The sequence below is a fragment of the Homo sapiens genome, chromosome 1 (assembly GCF_000001405.40).
Source record: "Homo sapiens chromosome 1, GRCh38.p14 Primary Assembly".
Lineage (NCBI taxonomy): Eukaryota > Metazoa > Chordata > Mammalia > Primates > Hominidae > Homo > Homo sapiens.
The window spans coordinates 44356901-44377982 of NC_000001.11; the positions used below are offsets into that span (position 1 = coordinate 44356901).

At 47.4% G+C, this 21082-nt stretch overlaps 3 annotated features.

Moving 5' to 3' along the window:
- Positions 11524-12056: an enhancer, noted in NCBI's record as "NANOG-H3K4me1 hESC enhancer chr1:44834096-44834628 (GRCh37/hg19 assembly coordinates)". NCBI's record gives its function as "activates a minimal SCP1, AML or CMV promoter by ChIP-STARR-seq in naive and primed H9 embryonic stem cells {active_cell/tissue: H9 hESC(naive and primed)}" and the evidence as "EXISTENCE:reporter gene assay evidence [ECO:0000049][PMID:30033119]".
- Positions 16806-16975: an enhancer, noted in NCBI's record as "experimental_8167 CRE fragment used in MPRA reporter constructs". NCBI's record gives its function as "activates a minimal promoter by MPRAs in K562 erythroleukemia cells, with activity observed for the non-introgressed 1:44839463 variant allele {active_cell/tissue: K562}" and the evidence as "EXISTENCE:reporter gene assay evidence [ECO:0000049][PMID:34662402]".
- Positions 17362-17572: a silencer, noted in NCBI's record as "fragment chr1:44839934-44840144 (GRCh37/hg19 assembly coordinates)". NCBI's record gives its function as "represses an EF-1alpha promoter that drives an FKBP-Casp9 reporter gene in an ReSE screen in phorbol 12-myristate 13-acetate-treated (for megakaryocytic differentiation) K562 erythroleukemia cells {active_cell/tissue: K562(+PMA)}" and the evidence as "EXISTENCE:reporter gene assay evidence [ECO:0000049][PMID:32094911]".

Below are 21082 nucleotides of genomic sequence, written 5' to 3' on the forward strand. Positions count from 1 at the left end.
GGGGAGGGGCTGTAGGAGGAAGAATAGATAATAAAACAAGTAAATATAAAAATAAGACAAGAGGCAGTGAGATAGCTTTGTTATATACTGAGTTATGGCCTGAGAGTAGGGCACAGCCAATCTTCTTGGCTGTAAGAATGAAGTAAATCTATAGTATCTGGATTCAAGGCTTTATGTAATGCCCAGCCCCAACATCCTCTGTGGAGCCTTCCATGGTCCCCTTGACTTCCCCAGAATGTGTTCTTTCCTCCTTGGTGCACTAGGGCTCAACTGTACAGCTTCCAGGACTTCACCACACTGTAAGTTCTTTTTGTACAAAGACCAGGCAAATTGATTCAAATAATAGAACAGTTTAACAGCTCAGTATACACTTGGTATCTTACACTGCCGCCTAACACAGCACTTGGCTTTCTCAAGCCATGGCTCTGTTGTGTGCTATCTGGTTCCCTAGAAAACAGAGCCTGGGCCGGGCACAGTGGCTCATGCCTGTAATCCCAACACTTTGGCAGGCCAAGGTGGAAGGATTGCTTGAGCCCGGGGGTTCATGACCAGACTGGTCAACATAGCAAGATTCCATCTCTATAAAAGAAAAAAAAGGAAACGGAGCCTGAGGCAAAACTTATGTGCTCAAATTTAATTGGGGAGTTCAATCCCAAGGCATCAAGAGTGAGGGGAGCCGGGTATGGTGACGCATGTAGTAGTCGCAGCTACTCAGGAGGCAGAAGACTGAGGCAGGAGGATCGCTTGAAGTCAGGAGTTCAAGGCTAGCCTGGGCAACATGGCAAGACTCCGTGACTTAAATAAACAAATAAATAAAAGAGTGGGGGAAGGGGGGAAGTGAAGCAGGGAAGGAGGGAAAGAACGTACAAGATAGTGTCTTACTGAGAAGTTGGCCAGTGCCTCAAAGAAAATACAACTAGTTGCTCTGTCGTACAAGGTGTGTAGAACCATCCTGTGTGACAGGGAGAAGGAAGGGTTATGTTACCCCACCACTGCCGTAGCCACAGGGGGTGCCAGATTCCACACCTGGAAGCACAGTCATTCATTTGAGACTAGAAATGGTGAGAGGAATCAAAGCCTCTGGTTGGGTCAGATTAGGTCCACTGCAGTCCCGCCACAGTGGGCACATTGGAGGCTGTGTCAAAACCTAGCCATCATCCCAAGGGAAACAAAGACAACCAGAGGTGTTAGTAAATGAGGTGGGAGTGGCAGTTGAGCTGTGCAATAAATAAGTGGCCAATGGCCAGAGTCGGGGATGCAGATGAGGCAAGGGCAAGTGAATTTGGGGAGGCAGATGAACTGAGTTCAATACACAGACACACAGACACCCTAGCTGCTGGATTGAGCGACTGAGCTAAAGTGAACACTGAGAGCAAGAACAAAAGAGAGGACCAAGTTAAGCCTTTTTTTTTTTTTTTCTTTTTGAGATGGAGTTTCACTCTTGTTGCCCAGGCTGGAGTGCAATGGCGCAATTTCAACTCACCGCAACCTCCGCCTCCTGGGTTCAAGCAATTCTCCTGCTTCAGCCTCCCGAGTAGCTGGGATTACAGGCATGCACCACCAGGCCTGGCTAATTTTTGTATTTTTAGTAGAGACAGGGTTTCTCCATGTTGGTCAGGTTGGTCTCAAACTATCGATCTCAGGTGATCCACCCGCCTTGGCCTCCCAAAGTGCTGGGATTACAGGCATGAGCCACCACGCCTGGTCAGTTAGGTCTTCTTATACCCTGTCAAACCACCAGGAAATGCAGCAAGGTGGTCATCAAAGCTAGGACCTTAACCAGCTGTCAAAGCGCAGAGAGTGCAGGACCCAAGGATAATACATGGCAGCCCGCAAACCTTGGCACAGCTGAGAGAACCCAGACTGGGTCTGAAACCGTTTTATGTGGCAACTGGAAGACCTGCTACTGCTGTCGTAGTCCCTGTAAGCTATGTAAAACAGCATAGGAGGGTGGGCTCAGAGAGAACCTGTTCAGGTTTGAGTCCTGGCTCCATCTGTGACCTTAGGCAAGTCACATACCTCTCTGAAGTTCAGTTTCTTCATCTCTAGAATGTAGATAATACTTGTATCTACTTGTTATTGGAATTAAATATACAACTGCTTAGCACTATCTAGAATAAAGAGTTCAGTAAACAGTGGCTATTACTATTATTCTCACCCTTCCCCTACCCCTTTCTCCTGCCCCTCTTCCCACCATGACCACCACCACCCCACCTCCTCTTCTCCCCAACCCAACCCCCTAGCAGTCTTCTGCCACTCCGGGAGGAGTCAGGGCTGGATCTGGCCATGCCGCCTTCTTCCTGCTTTTCCCCAGAGCTGTTCCCCAAGAGCTTGAGCCATTCATCTCCCTGGTGACCTGAATCTGAACTAAGAGATGGATGTGGGGTGGCAGAGGCCAGGGTGGTAATGTGCTCCCTTATCTCCGTGCCCCTCACTAGGGCCTAGTTAATTTTCCCTTTGATTTTAATATAGATTTATTGAAAGTTTCAGTTATCAAAACAAACTGCAGCAGCAAATTGGTGTTCTTTGCAGGCCTACAAGTGCCTATAAAGCTGCCATGCTTGGGAACGAATGGCGCTCTCCGGGAGGTCAGTCATGGCAACAGGAAGTCCCTGGGGACACACACACTGCAGTTTAATATTTTTCTTATTAGCCTTTTTCTTCTTAGCTATCTAAGCCTCCCCTTTAAATCGGAAATCAAATGGAGCCACCTGCCCAGGGAGGTTCTCTTCCTTAGGCTGTGACACTCTCTGCCTACTCTCTGTCCCCTCTCTAGTCCCAGTGTCCTTACCTCAAATCCTGTGACTCCACCCTGATTTGCCCCCGGGCCCAGAGAGAGTCATGATTCACATGCCCCAGAGGTGTGGCTCACAAATGTCATGAATCCCACAGCTTTGTCCCAACTGTACAAAGTCAGTTTGGGCTATCTAGCCACTAGTCAGAGGCAAAGCAGCCCTAGAAAAGATTGGGGCCCCAGATTTCTTCCATATCTTATGCTCAGAAGGGAGGAAAAAGCAAAGTTTGAAAGCAAAGCAGTTGCTTTCAAAGAGGCAGACGATCCTGCCAGGATGTATTGAACTCAACGGAAGTAAAAAGGAGATGGTGATCCTAGAGAGTGTGCAAGCTCTCCTTCCAGCCCAACAATTTTCCAATTTCATTCTCGTAGTCCCAATGCTACTCCCAATATGGCTCCCCCTCCTCTCAATCGCAGCTTGATTTTTGAGGCTCCTCTCTCTGGCCCCAATTTGCATAAGGACCAGCCAGCACTCTCTAGTGCCCCAGGGGCTCCCGTAGCTAGAACCATTCACTGCCACTTCTAGGATCTGAATCAGTCCTGTCCTAGCGGAGGGTCTCCATGCCTGGTAATCTCTTTTTTTTTTTTTTTTTTTTTTTGAGACAGGGTCTCACTCTGTCACCTAGGCTAGAGGGCAGTGGCTAAATCACGGCCCACTCCCAGGCTCAAGCACTCTTTCAACCTCAGGCTCTCGAGTAGCTGGGACTATGGGTTTGTGCAACTTCGCCTGGCTACTTTTTATTTGTTTGTTTGTGTTTTTTTGTAGAGACAGGGTTTTACCATGTTGCCCAGGCTAGTCTCAAACTCCTAAGCTCAAGTGAACTTCCTGCCTCAGCCTCCCAAAATGCTGGTATTATAGGCATGAACCACCCCACCCGACCCACACCTGGTAATCCTGAGGGCACCGTCATCCTTTCTGGGTCTGATATGCAGCTGCATCACGTTTGTGAGCCGCATCCCAATTCCCAATGTCCTCGCCTCGTTCTTAAACATTCCCTGCTAGGCCGGGCACAGTGGCTCACACCTGTAATCCCAGCACTTTGGGAGGCCGAGGTGGGTGGATCACGAGGTCAGGAGTTCAAGACCAGCCTGGCCAACATGGTGAAACCCCGTCTCTACTAAAAATACAAAAATTAGCCCAGTGTGGTGGCACACGACTGTAGTCCCAGCTACTCGGGAGGCTGAGGCAGGAGAATTGCTTGAACCTGGGAGGCGGAGGTTGCAGTGAGCCGAGACCGCGCTATTGCACTCCAGCCTGGCGACAGAGCAAGACTCTGTCTCAAAAAAAAAAAAAAAAAAAATCCCTGCTGGTAGCAAAGGCTACTACTGCCCTTCCTCAGAACTCAGACTATGACTTAAGGGTCTGGACAACTATAGCTGTGTGCCAGAATGGTGGAAGATGCTGAGGTTTGGACCCAGACAGTGCAGGATTTGAATCCTGGCTCTGACACTTACTGACTGACTTTGTGACTTGGGAAATCTCTTTGTGGTTTCATTGCACCTTCTGCTTACATCTACTCTTGTCTGGGGAGCACAGTAATAGAGTGATTTGCCTCGTGTCTCTATCCTACAATATTCTGAGATCCTCAAGGAACAGGACTGGTGTCTTATCTTTATATTCCATGTGCATATAGTTGATGAATAACTGAAGACAGCTTCTCTGAGCCTGTTTCCTCAACTGTAAAATGGAGATAATGCCTATATCACCAATATAGTGAAGAAAGTGCCCACCCAGCATAAGGTAGGTACTTGCTGAGTAAAGTTTCCTTCATCAATTTTCCTTAGAGTTTCGTTGTCAACCACGAACACTCCTACTTTTCTCCTGTTCCCACCTCAGCTTCAGGTTCAGCTCTCTCTTGTTGTCTACTAGGGCTTTCGCATCACTGATCAGAGGTCAGCATTCACCTGGGTCCCTTTGGAGTGGTGCTGACTTCTCTCCTCCAGGCCAGGCTCCCTTTATCTTTCCAAACCCACTCAGAAACTGCTGCCTCCTGGTGGCTCTGTTTCTGGTCAAAAGTCAGATTCCCTAGACTGCCTTGTAGTTCATCTGTAGCAATGCAGATATTCTCAGGCCAATAGTCTATACTGGCTCATAGTACAAATGTGTTTACATTTACATTCATTCATATACCAGTCTTGCTAATTGTAGGCATCCACCTGTTCCTATAAAAATACCAATCCGGGACAGGCGCAGTGGCTCATGCCTGTAACACCAGCACTTTGGGAGGCTGAGGTGGGCGGATCACCTGAGGCCGGGAGCTCAAGACCAGCCTGACCAACATGGAGAAACCCCATCTGTACTAAAAATACAAAATTAGCTGGGCATGGTGGTGCATGCCTGTAATCCCAGCTACTCAGGAGGCTGAGGCAGGAGAATCGCTTGAACAGGGGAGGCGGAGATTGCGGTGAGAAGAGACCGTGCCATTGCACTCCAGCCTAGGCAACAGGAGCAAAACTCCATCTCAAAAAAAAAGAAGAAGAAAAAAAAAATCCCTAGCAGTACTCCTCCCAAATTCTCAATTGTACCCATCAACTCAAGGTACTGTGCTCCACTGGTTTCTACCACTAGGTGCGTTGTGGATGCTGTCCTTGAAGTTTCTGCTTAATGGGCCCAATTCTTCTGGTACCACGACAGCATGAGAACATGGCACTCTCCTTCAAAGAAGACAATTCCCTCCACATTACAGGTAGGAAGATGTGGAGCCCCACAGCAGGGTTGTTCGAGCTCTTCATTCTTTCAGAGACAGCTGTTTCCACATATTCTAACAGCCCTTTTTCTTCTCACGGTGCATCTCTACTACCACCAGAGTTGCCAAGGTAGGATGAGTTTATTTAGAGCCGTCATGCTGAACCAGAGGCGTGATCTCTTTTCAACCTTTAATCCTGTGGAAACTGGCTCACTCTGCCAGTCTCTACCCTCCTCTATCATTAAGTCACTTGCTGGAGCTCTGCTGTCCTTCCAGCAATTTGGTGTCCATTGGTTTAACCACATACCCTTACTCTAATTGTGCTGGTATATACCTGATCCAGTTATGGGCTTGGTTCAAATTTACTTGCTTTGCTCTGAGAGGCTTTTCAGCCCCCATGCAAATTAGTGCATTGAAATAGATATTTGGGTCAGACAATGTTGCTTCCCTTCCCACACCGGATGTAGCCAAGTATTGGCTGCAAACCTACTAGGACTCCATTATACTACATGCTTCCCCTAGGATTTAGTGAATAAGCTGCTTTTACTGCCAGCTGCCTTTCCCTGCCTTCCCAGACTAGCAGGGCCTGTTCATTATACTGGACTCTTTGTGGTTTCATAGGTCCTCCTTCCTGGTCCTGATTTGGCAGTCAGATCCTCTATCCTCATGCTTCAGCCTCTGCTTCCAACCTCATTTTCTAGTCATTCTTTTAACTCATCTTCTCTTCCAGGCCCAAGGGACAAATTACTACTCGTCAGGGTGCTTTGCACTTTTCAGCCTCCAAGCCTTTGCTAGCATTGTTCTCTCAATGGGGGTGCCTACCCCATTCCTATCTCCACCTGTTGAACTCCTGGAGAATGATGCCCTGCTCCAAGAAGCATTTGCTTAGTGGCAGTTCCTTCCCATCTTCTGAGTGCCCCAAGCCCTTCCTGCATCTTCTGCCCTGAACAGCACTCTGTAATCCACAGGGCAGGGGCTTGCTGAGCAATCTTAATGTCTAACCAGTGTCTGACCACAGCCCCAAGACCTGAGAGTTCTAGAGGGTTTTTAGGAAGGCATCTGAAGCCTTCAGAGCATCTCTTCTAGCAACCCCAGCAGAGTCCTAAGACCTTGAACCCATTCTTTTCCAAGTATATACTTTCTCAATATTCAACAAACATTCTTCGAATACATATGTTGTGCTATGTTCCATGAAAAAGCACAAGACAGGAACATGAACAAGAGACACAGTCCCCGCCCTCATAGAGCTTACATTCGAATGAAGGAGACATACTGGTAAAGAAATAATTGTCATTCAGAGTGACAACTGTGATTATAGACAGCATTTGCAATAGGGATTTAAAGATGAGGCATCCCTTACAGCCTGGAAAGCCCTCCTAGAACAAGTGACATTTAAGTCAAGTCTTAAATGTTGAGTAGGAATTTCTTAGACTGAGAAGGGATTGAAGAGGGGAGAGCATTCCAGGTGAAGAGAATAGCGTGAGCAAAGGCACTAAGCAAAGAAATGGCCCACGTGAAGATGGAAAGAAAGTTAGTAGGACTGGAACAGAACGTGTGCAAGGGGAGTGATGAAAGAGGAATTTGAAGACATAGGCAAGAGTTAGATCCTGCATAGTCTTCTGAGAGTTCTTAAGGTGTTTGGACTTGGTCTTGAGGGTAATAGAGAGCCACTACTGGAGCTTCTGTGTTAGGGCAGTGCTTCTCAAACTTTAATGTGCATTCCAATCACCTGGGCATCTTGTTAAAATGTAAATTGTGATTATGTGGGTCAGGAAAAGGCCTTGACTCTGCATTTCTAACAAGTTTCCTGGGGAGCTTGTGCTGCTGCTCTTCAGACCACACCTTGAGTAGCAAGGTTTTGAGGGCACCATCATCCTACTTTAGTAGCGCTATCTCTCTGGCCTACCTTCCCCACCTTCCCACCTTCCCACCTCCCCTAAACATGTCCACTCACATCAGTAGGCACAGAGCATTTTTCTTTCTGCTGAGTCTGGTTTAAGACTACTGTGACTCTTACTTTTTTTTTTAGCATCTATATTTTAGAAGCCGTTTATTGAATATTTGTTCCATATCCAGCAAGGTATCAGGTAAGGGGTAAGGGGGGTGGCTGGGGGAAGATAAAAAGCAAGACATTTTCCTGCCCAAAAGTGTTTGGTGTCATCTCCATCTCTGAAGGGGCAGCTTTTCCTGAGCTGCCCTCTGCCAGACCTGTCATAAACATGCTAAATGAGGCCTGTCTCAGCAGTGCTCCCTGGGGTCCCACCGCTTCTGCAGCCCCATCCAGAGATGAGCCTGTTTATCCCTAACTATTGTCTCTGACCTCTAAATCAATTCCCTATCTGATACAAAACCTCAGTCCTCCTCTACCCTCCTCCCAATTCCAAGCTAGGTCAATTTGTAAAACCAGAGGCAGCGAACGATGACAGTGGTTACGCGTACGGGCTCTGAAATCAGACTGCTTGGGCTCATAGCCCAAGTCCACTACTTATTAGCTGAGTGAACTTGGGCAAGTGGCTTAACTTCTCTAAGCTTCAGTCTTCTCATCTGTAAATTGGGGACAGTACTTTGGCCTGTACCATGGGGCTGTGGTGATGATCAGATACAACAATGCATATAAAGCACAGCCTTTGAAACACGCAGAAAACACCCAATCAGTGTTATCTGTTGTTTTCATAGATACGAAAAGCTATGTGCATGGAAGCTTATCAAAGCTCTTTGAAAGCCTGTATATGTAAAAGTCACTGTTGTCCATTATACACCTGTGGCTTTTCCTACTTGTATCATCCCCTCCCTGATGCTGGGGAGGCAGAACACAGCCGGAGATGTTCATCCCAGAAAAAAGGCCTGTTGGATGAGGCAGCCTTCAGAAAGCTCTTATGGGACAAGAGGTTTCAGCTCCCAAAGCTGAGGCTCAGTGTTGGAGGGGGGATGCTTTGCAGATCCCCTCCCACCTCAACCCCATCCCCATAGTGTCCCCTCAGTCCAGGGTCACCCAGGCTGCCCTCCTTCCAGCTGCAGTGAGAGGCAGCTTCAATCATTCATCTTGATGTCTCTATTAAGCAGGGTTATGACCAGGACGAGACAAGAAACAAGGTCTTTTAGTGTAAAAACACAGCTCCAGGGCTTGGTCCCAGGGGACTCCTTCTTGGCACTGCTGCTGCTCCTGGGCTACTGCTGCTGGGGGGCCACTGAAGTTCCAGATTGGGCAGGAAGATTCTGCTCTGAGTTCTCTCTCTTCTCTCTTCCCTTGAGCCTCCTAAGGGCCTGCCCAAAGCTTCCATTTCCAACAGGAAAAGCAATGACTTGGCATTTGGAGGCAGCCATGAGACCTCCAGGCTGTCTTTGTGTTAGGCCTGTACCCTGACGAGGGATCACTGTCCTCATCATCATCTCACCACTCACCAGCAACGTGGAGGTAGCCGCAGCCTTAGCCACTGGGCCCTGGGCAAAATAGGCCCTCACCTGGAGTCTGGGCTCAGAGCCTAGGGATAATAAGAGTATTTCTGATTATAGAAAGACCCAAGGAGGAATCCTAACAAGACTGCACCACAAGTCCTTGTCACTCATATTAGAGAAGGTTTAGGAACCATCAGTGGACTAAGCATGTGCTCAGACCAAGACCTGGGCTCCATGGCAGTAGCTGTCAGCTCAAGGAGTCCAGTGTTTACCGACTCTCACCTACACTCATGCATGGACAGCAGCAGGTTAGCCCACTCACCTGGAGAAATGGGCTGAGGCTCCTGGAGAACCAGAATTAAAAGGCAACTACCGAGAATCCATTTGGAAGGACTCAGTGGGAGCTGTGTGTACAGGCTTACCCTTCAGAGGCATGCAGAGGGTTCCCAGGTAACTGCTCCCAAGTGTTAGTAACATCGCCGTTAAAACACGAGTCCTTTAACTGTAGAACCCACAGAGGTGAAGGTACAAAAGAGAGAGGCAGGTCACCCAACACAGTTTGCTGACTGCAGTCCTGCTAATCCTCAGGTCACCAACTGCTATTTCCCACAGTGCTGCTGCTGTCTCACTGGTCCTCATTTCTCTTTCTGTATCAAGACTTATCCTAACCATAACCTCCTCCCTGAGGTGGGCTGGCATAGAGGTAAACTTCAAGCCAGGGATCCAGGCAAACCTGGGCTCACTTCGTGATTCTTCCTCTTCTGAGCAAAGTGACTCTGGGCAAGTCATTGCTGCTCCCTGAGCTTCTGCTTCCCCTTTTGTTCCTTAAGGTCTTGAGTGAATGAGACTGTACATGTTCAGCTTAGTGTAGGACCTGGAATACAGTGGAAGAAGGTAAGGGTGGAGGAGAGAACTGGGAGTCTCGTTCCACTCTGTGCAGAGGAAGGAAGCCTCTGTGCCTAGAATGCAGGGGCGTTCTAGACTCTCCTCGCTGCAAGCTGTGGGTGGTAGGACTGTGAGCGCAGCAGGGCTGCGGAGGGAATTGCAGAGCAGCTGAGGGCAGCACAAAGTCAGAGTGAGTTAGCACTGGTCCCAGGGGTTGCACGAGCAAGGCAGGCTTTTACAGAGATATCCAGGGAATAAGAAATACCAGCAAGGAAGTTGCCCCATTAATAAATAAGAAGGTGGGAAATTAATGATGGTCTGAAAATGGCTGAGCTGCTGAACTCATTCTTTAAATCTGTCTTTAACAAGAAAAATAAAGAAAAGAGATTTGGCCAATTAGGAGGTAATGAAGACATTGTGGAAATAGCACCTGACAAAAGCGCACATGCGGGGAGGGGCTGAATGAGCTTCCAGAGGCCTGGACGCCCCTGCCCCTCACTGGACAGAAGGAGGGTGCCAGTGGAGGGGCCTCCTGCTTACAAGCAGGGAGGGTGGAGGATCGTCCAGGGCCTGGGAAGGGACGACGAAGAAACAAAGATGGGGAGACTCCAATCTGGGCTTAATGGATGTTTTTCAAGAACCTGTTGTGAGCCTGGGCAGGATGCTCCACATTCTCTGACACTGTCTCCTGTGAAGGCTGAGAATGAAGGTGAGGAACTGGGGGATAAAAGGAGAGCAAGAATGGGGGCAGATGTAGAAATAAAGGGGACCCAGGAAAGGAGGGATCTCTGGGGGATGGGAAAAAGCAGAAAGGCCCTGCTCAGAACTACAAAAAGCTTAGGCCCCTGACATCTAGGATGGTTCCTTCTAGGGAGTTTATACCTAGAAAAAAATTAAGAGAAGGAAATAGGAGATGAGGCATGGAAAGGAAAGAGAAAGAAGTCAAGAGGAGAGACCTGGAGTCTAGAAGAGGAGAGGGCAAGGTAACACATGGAAGAAGGAAAATTGGAGTCAGTGTCTAGGCAGAGCTTAGGAAAGGAGCCAGGGTGGCTCCCACCCAGGAGGAAAAAGAGCCATTCTGCTAAGTTCCAGACAAACCACACTGCTTGCCACACTGACCTAACTCCGGTATTCCACTGAGGTCCAGGTGGCCCTCCCTGTGAGCAGAATAGCAGATTCGGTGAGGTCTTGAGTAAGGGAGTGAGAATACAGGTCCAATCTAACCCCGGCCCTACCCCTTCTTAAACACAAATGAACCTGGTCCCATGGCTAGAAAGGGGATCCAGTGCTCCCTTAGCCTTCCCCATCCTTTCCCAACCAGGGCCTACGACCTCCTGCTGCCCCTGGGTGAGGCTCCAGGGTTTGTCTCCAAGTGTGGTTCCAGAATTCAATCCAAAGTGGCTGGGCTGTAACCCTGACATGGTCTGTGGTGGAGGGGAATAGGGGGGGCCATGAAACTGCAGAAGAAAGAGAGGGCAGCTGGTGATGAATAGGGGCAGCCAGAGGCTTGTTAGAGAGGGGTGTGGAGAAGAAGGCCACTGCAGGGATGAGCCCTGGGCCTGATTTATCATCTTCACAGCTGATCTGAGCAAGAGGGGTTAAGTAGCAAGTTAATGAAATCTACAGATGCTGCTAAATGGGGGAGAGCTGGGAGCACCAAGGCTGGAGGGGATACCAGGCAGGACACAGGCAACAAGTTGGCCACCAAAGAAAGAGGTTCTTCTGGAGGGGAGAGACAGTCAACATATTCCAGCTGAGGGAGAGATCCTGTCTTAGTCTCTGAAATCCAGTTTTGGCAAACCACGGAGAGAGAAGTTAGAGATCAGAATGCAGGAAGAACCAAGGTCGCATCCCAGAGATGTCCTCAGCCAAACTTCACAGCCCCCGCTCCAATCCCAATGGGCTTCGTCAAACACTGGGCAGCCCCCGAGCCCTAGAGACAAGGAGGTGAATCAGACCAGTCTCTGCCGTCTCTTCTCCCAGACTGAGTGGTGAAACAAGTAACTACAGTTCTCTGCGATAAGTGCTGTTCAGCAACACAAAGGAGGGAGCAATTCATCCTGACAGGGGAGGGCAGGGAGGTCAGGATGACATTAAAGCAAGGCTTGGTAAGTATGGATTTCACCAGGCAGACAAGGGGAAAGGGGGATTCTGGGCAGAAGGAACAGCATGAGCCAAGGCCAGGAAAAGAACAAGGGAAGCTGAGGGGAAGGAGCTGACCTGGTGGAGATGCCTGTTCAGGCAAGGAAACGGGCAAGGGAAACCAGCCCAAAGCTGCAGGCAGGCCAGAGCAGCAGGTCCTGCAGTGGTCTGGCTGTGTAGGACAAGTGAGGCTGGGGGAGTCAAGGGGCAGCAGAATCCTTCCCGAAAGAGCTGCGGCTGCATGTCAACTGCATTCTCCACCTCCAGTGCTAGCGCAGGGCCTCCATTGTAGCGTTGCCCCAAGGATGAAAGAAAATCGTTCCTGTATAGGGTTTGACACAAGGCCTGGCATACAGTAAGTGCTGACTAAATGTAAGTGTTTTTTGGGTTTTTTTTTTGAGACGGAGTCTGGCTCTGTTGTCCAGGCTGGAGTGCAGTGGCATGATCTTGGCTCACTGAAACCTTTATCTCTCTGCAACCTTTGTCTCCCAGGTTCAAGCAGTTTCTCCTGCCTCAACCTCCTGAGTAGCTGGGACTACAGGCACACGCCACCACGCCCGGCTAATTTTTTTTTTTTTTTGTATTTTTTAGTAGAGATGGGGTTTCACCATGTTGGCCAGGCTGGTCTTGAACTCCTGACCTCAGGTGATCTGCCTGCCTCAGCCTCCCAAAGTGCTGGGATTACAGGCATGAGCCACCGCACCCAGCCTAAATGTAAGTGATTATTATTGTGGTGGTTAATATTCCCAGGCTGAATTAAAAAACCTGGCCCATGGGTCTGACTGCAGCTCCAAATGCACCCAGGGAGTGGCAGAAGATTGAGTGGACAGGTGGCTACTTAATAAGTAGAAGCTCAGGTGCATGAGGCAGAAAGTCATCAATAGCTCTAATGATGAGGTGGGAGAGGGTACTGCTGAGACATCAGGGACCCGAGACCTCTGAGAAGGGGAAGACTGACACACAGGCTTATATCAAAAAGAACTCTGAGGACCAGACTGTCAACACCTCTCCCCAGGACCTGCAGGGCTGCTCTTGGAAGCAGGGAAGGAGAGCAGTTTGCGTCTTAGGGCCAGATGGCCAAGCCTTCTTATCCTTTCTCCAGCCCTTAAAGCTATCCTGGGCAAGTGAATACCTCCTTTCCTACAGAGGCCTTGCTTTCTCTACTCAAAATGTGAGTAGCAACCCTCCCCTTGTAGGAACACCCTCCCTAAGGGAAGTTGCAAGGGTATAGAAGCAAAACATCTGTCTCAGTCCTTTTTATTCTGTATCAGAGAGGTATTCAGTGAACGTTTGCTGGATGTAGGACTGAATGAACTGGTAAGAAACTGGAGGCTCTTCAGCATAGCACAGCACAGCCGCAGCTAGAAAAGGTTCCTCTACTCCCCATCGCATACACACATACATACATACACACCTCTTTCCTCGTTTTATCTCATGGCAGCTGGTGTTGAGAGAATGGATAACAGTATGGCTATTTAAAGAATAAACCTTGGAGTCAGACAGTCCTGGGATTCAGACTTTGTTCCACTACTCACCAACTTAAACTCCTAAGGAAGTTCCTTAACCTGCCTAAATCTCAGTTTCCTTCTCTGTAAAATGGATATAATGATACCTACTTCATAGGTTGTGTAGATTACATCAATAATACATGTAAAGAGCCTAGAAGAATACCTGCCACACAGAAAGTAACTGTTCTACATAAAGCAGGATCAGTAAAATGAAAACAGGAGACATTTGAATTCTCCCCTTATCTCCACTGTCCTTTCAAACCTTCTCTATGGGCCTGTACTCTCTCTGCCCCTGCATGATTTTTAATGCAGGTCATTTAACTCTATAATAAAAACTGGGTTCTGGGCCAGGCACAGTGGCTCACACCTGTAGTCCCAAAACTTTGGGAGGCTGAGGCAGGAGGATTACTTGGGGTCAGGAGTTCAAGATCAGCCTGGGCAACATAGCCAGACCCTGTCTCTACAAAAATAAAAATAACAAACTGGGTTCTGAGACCTACCAAGTCATAAGATTAGGCAGGCCAAGTAATAATTCATCCTAAGATGGAAGAGACACATGGTGAGATTGAGCATGAACAGGACTAGAGGACACAAGCAAGCTGCAGAGCAGGTATCCCAGCCCCCCATGTCATCTACCACATGGCATCAGTGCCTCTCCTCTGCTTACATATAGGTTGTGTGAAGAAGTGCCTTATGATCAGGGAAGAGGAGGGTAAAGCCCTACTTTGATGGATGGGTTTACCCAGTATGTGGGTACAAGCTGAAAATGGACAGTGGCTGCGCTGAAAGACAGAGGTGAGGGAAAATCATCCCAGTGAATAAAGCATTGGTCATCTACTTTGGAAAGAGAAGTAATTCAAGGTTAGAATATATATGGACTCATGAGCAGTGGGCAATGATTGGGATGACTGGCCAGGGCCTGGAAGCAATATTGGAGGACCACAGACAAGACAGTCTGGGGTAGTAGCAGGTGAATGGACATATGAGGATGAATACAAATTGTGAAGATCTTTGTATCACCTGTTAATGCCCTTCAGAGAGCATCCACCATGGAAGAGGCACTAAACCATCAAGTAAACAAAATGACTCAGCCAGTTGATATCAGCCAGCTTCTGTCATTGGCTGCCCTGATGTTGGTGCAATGAATGCATAGATGAAGTAGCCATGATGGCAGGGATGGAAGGAAGTTATGCATGGGCCAACTAACACAGGTTTCCAGTTACCAAAGTTGATCTAGCTACTGCCACTGCAGAATGTCCAACCTACCAATGCTAAGGCCCCAAGATGGCAATGTCCATTGAGGAGATCAATTGGCCACTTGTTGGCAAGCTGATTATTTTGGACCCTTTACATCCTGGAAGGAACAGAAATTCATTTTGACAGGAATAGACCCATATTCTGAGTTTGCCTTTTCTGCCTTGTAGGGCTTTAGCCAACACCACTTAGTGAAGGCTTACACAGAGTGTTTAATCTACCAGCATAGGATCTCATATAGTATCCACCACATCAGAAAAAAGGACCTACTTTACAACAAAGGAGGTGCAACAGTGAGCCCATAAATGAGATCCGTTGATTGTACATATCACATACTACAGAACCCAGGAACTGCCAGCCCAACAGAGAAATGAAATGTTCTGTTGACATAGCTGAAACGCCAGCTACGATGTGATATTTTATGAGAATGGGGCACCATTTCTTGGATACTGGCTCTCAACTGGAGACAATTGTGCCTTCCAGGGGACACTTGGCAATGTCTGGCGATGTCTGGAGACTTTTTTTTTTTTCTCTCTGAGCTCTGTCACTGAGAAAATGGAGACACGGCCGGGTGTGGTGGCTCATGCCTGTAATCCCAGCACTTTGGGAGGCCGAGGCAGGCAGATCACAAGGTCAGGAGTTCGAGACCAGCCTGGCCAATGTGGTGAAATCCCATCTCTACTAAAAATACAAAAAAATTAGCCAGGTGTGGTGGTACACAGCTGTAATCCCAGCTACTCAGGAGGCTGAGGCAGGAGAATGGCGTGAACCCGGGTGGCAGAGGTTGCAGTGAGCCGAGATCGTGTCACTGCAATCCAGCCTGGGTGAGAGTGAGACTCTGTCTCAAAAAAAAAAAGGCCAGATGTGGTGGCTCATGCCTATAATCCCAGCACTTTGGGACGCTGAGGTGGATGGATCATCTGAGGTCAGGAGTTCAAGACAAACCTGGCCGACATGGTGAAACTACGTCTCTACTAAAAATACAAAAAATTAGCCGGATGTGGTGGTGCATACCTGTAATCCCAGCTGCTCAGGAGGCTGAGGAAGGAGAATCTCCTGAACCCGGGAGGCGGAGGTTGCAGTGAGCTGAGATTGCACCATTGTACTCCATCCTGGGTGACAAAAGCGAAACTCCATCTCAAAAAAAAAGAAAAAAAGAAAATGTAGATACATGTTTTACTGTCACAACTGGGGGGTAGGGACAGAGAGGAAAGATAATACTACTAGCATCTAGTAGGTAGAGCCCATGGATGTGCATCCTACATGTAGGACAGCACCCCCTAACAAGGAATTATCCAGTCCAAAATGTCAATAGTGTCAAAGATGAGAAACGCTGTTCTAGGACACAGTATATACTTTAAGTCAAAGACCTTTATATGGAGATGTGTCTGCAATTGGGTCTGGGAACCAAGGGATAGAAGCAGGAGTAGCCCCATTTACCATTACTCCTAATGATCCACTTGTGGAAATTATGGTCTTTGCAAATTTAGAGGAGCTGGTTGCCAAAGGGGAAACACTTCTGTTCGGAGACACAGCCAGATTCACATTGATCTATATAATATGGTTCCTGCCTGGTTATAATATGGTTATAATATGGTTCATGCTAGGGGACCAAGAGGCAAGAAGAAAAGTCACCCTATCTTGGCAGAGGTAATTGATTCTAATCATTGGAAGGCAGTAGGGCTGCCATTACACAATGGGGGCAACCAAGAGTGATCCACTTGGTACTTGAGCATTTATTGATCCTGCCTTCCTGTTTTGATGATATATGGACAAGTGCAACAACCGCAGTTTGAGAAGGGCATGGTGACCAGCCTGAGATCCCTTAGTGATGACAGTCTGGGTCATACCACAACTGAAGCTACCAAGACCAACAAATGCATTACCTGAGGGTAAGGGGAGTCTAGAATTGTTAGTAGAAAGGGAATATAATAAGTTGCGGCCCTAAGACTAGCTGTAACAGTGGGATCTATAGTCTATTCTGAAAACCTTTCTCTTCTAAATTTTTCTTAGGAAGAGAGGCCTACCAAAATCCTTGAGGAGATGTTCTAACAATTTATATAAAGAAGTGAATCCGGCCAGCCATGGTGGCTCACACCTGTAATCCCAGCACTTTGGGAGGCCGAGGAGGGCAGATCACTTGAGGTCAGGAGTTCGAGACCAGCCTGGCCAACATGATGAAACCCCATCTCTACTAAAAATACAAAATTAGCTAGGCGTGGTGGCACACTCCTGTAATCCCAGCTACTCAGGAGGCTGAGGCAGGAGAATTACTTGAATCCGGGAGGTGGAGGTTGCAGTGAGCTGAGATCATGCCACTGTAGTCCAGCCTGGGTGACAGAGCAAGACTCCATCTCAAAAAAAAAAAAAAAAAAAAAGAAGAAGAAGTAAATCCAAGTGGCACCAGGAAAAATTGCAGTAGTCGCTGTGGTCTGTTGCCTAGATCCACCCTAGATCCACCTTCAGGAAGAAAAGGAATTATTTCACCAGTTGCTGGGAGTGCTGTTTATGGCTAGGCCTCAGCTGTGTTAGCCTTGTTGAGGGACTGCTGCAGTTGAAGAAAAACTTCTTTGGCTAACATCCTTTCTCCTTCTAGGGGCTGATCAACACTAGAATATAAAGATCCCAGCCCCCTTATCCCAATTCAAATAATTTTGAAAGACCACTCCAGCTCCAGAGCTTCCTATAGGATTGTTTGAGGCCTTTGTTGGGACTGCATCACAGCTCAACTTCTCCCTCTGCACCAATACTGCCTCCCTCACTTCCATCGGTGTTGATCCCAAGAACACTCTTTAAAAACCACTTGCATGCTACACTTTGTCTCAGAATCTGCTTCCTGGGTAACACAACCTATGACAGTCAATAAACAAAATAAAATCACTGCTATGGTCTGAATGTCTGTGGCCCACCCCGCCAAAATGTATACGTGGAAATCTAATCCCCAATGTGAGAGTATTTGGAGGTGGGGCCTTTGGGGAGTGATTAGATCATGAAGGCTCAAGGAATGTGATTAGTGCCCTATAAAAGAAATCCCATCCATACCATAAGACAGGGTGGGAAAAAAAAAGATAAAAATAAAAAAAACAAAAGCCCAGAGAGATCCCTTGCCTCTTCTACCATCTGAGGACACAATGAAAGATGGCTGTCCATCTATAAACCAGGAAATGGGTCCTCACCAGAACCTGAATCTTCCAGCACCTTGATCTTGGCCTTCTCAGTCTCCACAATTGTGAGAAATAAATTTCTATTGTTTATGAGCCATCTGGTCTATGGTATTTTGTTATAGCAGCCCAAATAGACTAAGACAGTTTCTGTCCATGTTCAGCTTACTTTCTAAACATGGAGAGCCAGACAAAAACCACAAATATCAGAAATAAGTAAATCATTAGATATGTTTGAAGATGATAAGTTCTAAGGAAAAGAGAAAAAAGTAGAGTAGGGTAAGGAGATCAAGAGTGTCTGGGTATAGGAGTAGGCAATGGTAAACAGGATGCAGTATTAAATCAGAGGTCAAGGTATACCTCACTGAGAAAATAATATTTGAGCAAAATTTAAAAGAGGTGAGAGAATTGAACAAGTGGGTATCTGGAGACATTACAGGTAAAGAGAAAAGCGAGAGCACAGACCCTGAGGCAGGAGTCGATGTGTTTCAGGGGCACCCAGCAGACCAATGAGGCTGGAGCAGAGTGAGCAAGAAGGGAAATAAAGTGATAGGAATAGAAATTAGAGAGGGAATGTGGGAATTGAGAGTGTCAGATTGTGTAGGCTGTTTTTTTTTCTTTTTTTTTTGAGTTGGGGTTTTGCTCTTGTTGCCCAGGCTGGAGTGCAATGGCACAATCTCTGCTCACGGCAACCTCCGCCTCCCGGGTTCAAGCAATTCTCCTGCCTCAGCCTCCTGAGTAGCTGGAATTGCAGGCATGTGCCACCACGCCTGGCTAATTTTGTATTTTTAGTAGAGACGGGGTTTCTCCATGTTGGTCAGGCTGGTCTCGAACTCCCAACATCAGGTGATCGCCGGCCTTGGCCTCCCAAAGTACTGGGATTACAGGCCTGAGCTACCGTGCCCGGCCTATGTAGGCTATTTTAAAGACTGTGGGCCATTTTAAAGATGTGGATTTTGCTTTGAATAAAATGAGAACTGTATGCTATTCGTCCTCCTCCAGGAAGCCCTCCTTGACTGTCTCTGGTTAGATTAGGTGCCTCTGTACTCTCACAGCCTCTTGGGCTTCCCCCATAGTAGCACTTATCTATGGTAAATAATTGCTTCATTATCATCTGTATTGCCTGCTCAATTGTGAGCTCCATGAGGACACACTGAAATTATGTTGATTATAGGGGATCTTTGTGAGGATATAGACAGAAATAAGAAAGTCAAGTCAAGATATATAGCCACACGGTTAGACTTCACAGAGATCATAAAAAAACTTAGAGAACTAGAACTGGTTCAGGATACAGCATAGTTCTAGAAATTAGGTGATTTCATTGCTGCCTCTGAATTGGGCATTCATTGATCTCTACTCTTATGTTTCACCGTTATGGTCACTTAGTACTCTGTCCTTGCTTCTATGGCACCCAACACTTCCAACCAATAAGAGTTTATATTTCCAAGGAAAAGGATCTTGTTGGTTTGACCATACCCTAGTCACTAACTCTGTTGGGCAGAGATTTCTTGTTGAGCCACACTGTGGATTCTTGGTCAGCCAATAGATTGGCTGTCTTTGGGTCTGATCTTCATCTTTTTTTTTTTCTTTTCTTTTGAGACAAAGGTTTTCTCTTGTCACCCAGGCTGGAGTGCAATGGCGCAATCTTGGCTCACTGAAGCCTTCGCCTCCTAGGTTCAAGCAATTCTCCTGCTTCAGCTTCCCGAGTAGCTAGGACTACAGGTGCGCACCAGCACGCCCAGCTAATTTTTTTGTACTTTTAGTAGAGACACACCAATTCTGGTTTCAACATGTTGGCCAGGCTGGTCTCGACCTCCTGACCTCAGGTGATCCGCCCGCCTTGGCCTCCCAAAGTGCTGGGATTACAGGTGTGACCCACCGCACCCAGCCAGGTCTTCATCCTTGATCCAGTTTGCTGTGGCCAGGGTGGTAAAGTCACTTAATACCACATGTGGTCATCTATACATAAGAAAGCACCCAGGGCCCCTCCTCTTGGTCAAGAGCTGTAGATGTAGCAGCCACTCATCGGATAATAGATTCCTCTCCAGTACAGCTTAGCATAGTGATTGGCAAATAGGAAATATCAATAAATCCATCAATCTTGTATAGAGTCCTCCTCTCTCAAGGGCCCAGCACAGTCCCTGGAACAGAGTAGACTAAAATAATTATTTTGGAATAGTAGGCCAGTGTATCCAGACAGCATAGCACAGAAAGAAGCAATGTAGAGTAGTGGTTATGCATGTGGATTCTTGTCCTAGACTGCTTAAGTTCAAATTCCAACTCTGCCACCTAGCAACCCTATGACCTTAAGTAAGCTACGTAACCTGTCTGAGACTTAGTTCTTATGCCTGTAAATGAGGCCACAAATGACCCCAACACCATAGGAGTGTTGGGTGCATTACATGAGACAATACACAAAGTACTTTTCTGCATTCCTGGCACATAGTGGTGCCTCGATGGATAGTAGTGCCAGTGCTATTATTTTTGTGAGACTCGTGCTAATGAACATGGAGCTCTAGGCCAAATACTAGTCTGGAAGACAGTAGTCATCATACTATGCAGAGAGCTTCCTAAGGACACACCAGTTCTGAGATGTTCAGGGCCATTGTCACTAGCAAACCCACTGTCTTCCCTGTGCCCTCACCCACCAGGTTATAAGTAACCTGGAGTTTATGGGTCATCCAGACAACTGTTGCTGACTTTAACAAAGAAAGATACTAGGACCCAAACCTTTCTGGGTCCATAATAAATATATTAGTTATTGGTCAACCCGCTGCTATACCTTTAATCTGAAGTGAGGTGGTATCCAGGCAGAGTACGGAGAGAGAGGGAGGCGGGGGCAATGACCACAGCCAAGGATTCTGTAAGTCATAACTCGGTTTCTATGCAAGTTAACCTTAATATATCCAGCATGGAGAAGCCGACTGGTCACCACTTCTAGGCACAAAAGGATCAATGAGAAGGTCGAGGCAGAGACAGATGTCTGCATTTACATGAATATAGACATGTGTGAGGTTGGGGGCTCATTCAGGGCTGGGGCAAGCCCTAGCCCTACACCTTCTTGAACCCCTCTTCAGGCTGGCATACAAACTGGGACTGAGAGCAGATGGAAGGTGAGGCTCTTCTTTGGGACCTACTTAGTCAAGAAGGGCTCACAATGGAGGAGATGACAGGAAGGTTTAGGGAAAGGAATAGGAGTACCTGCCTTGGCTTGGGGTGTGTTGAGGGGTTGGAGGGGTGATGGGCACTGGGAAG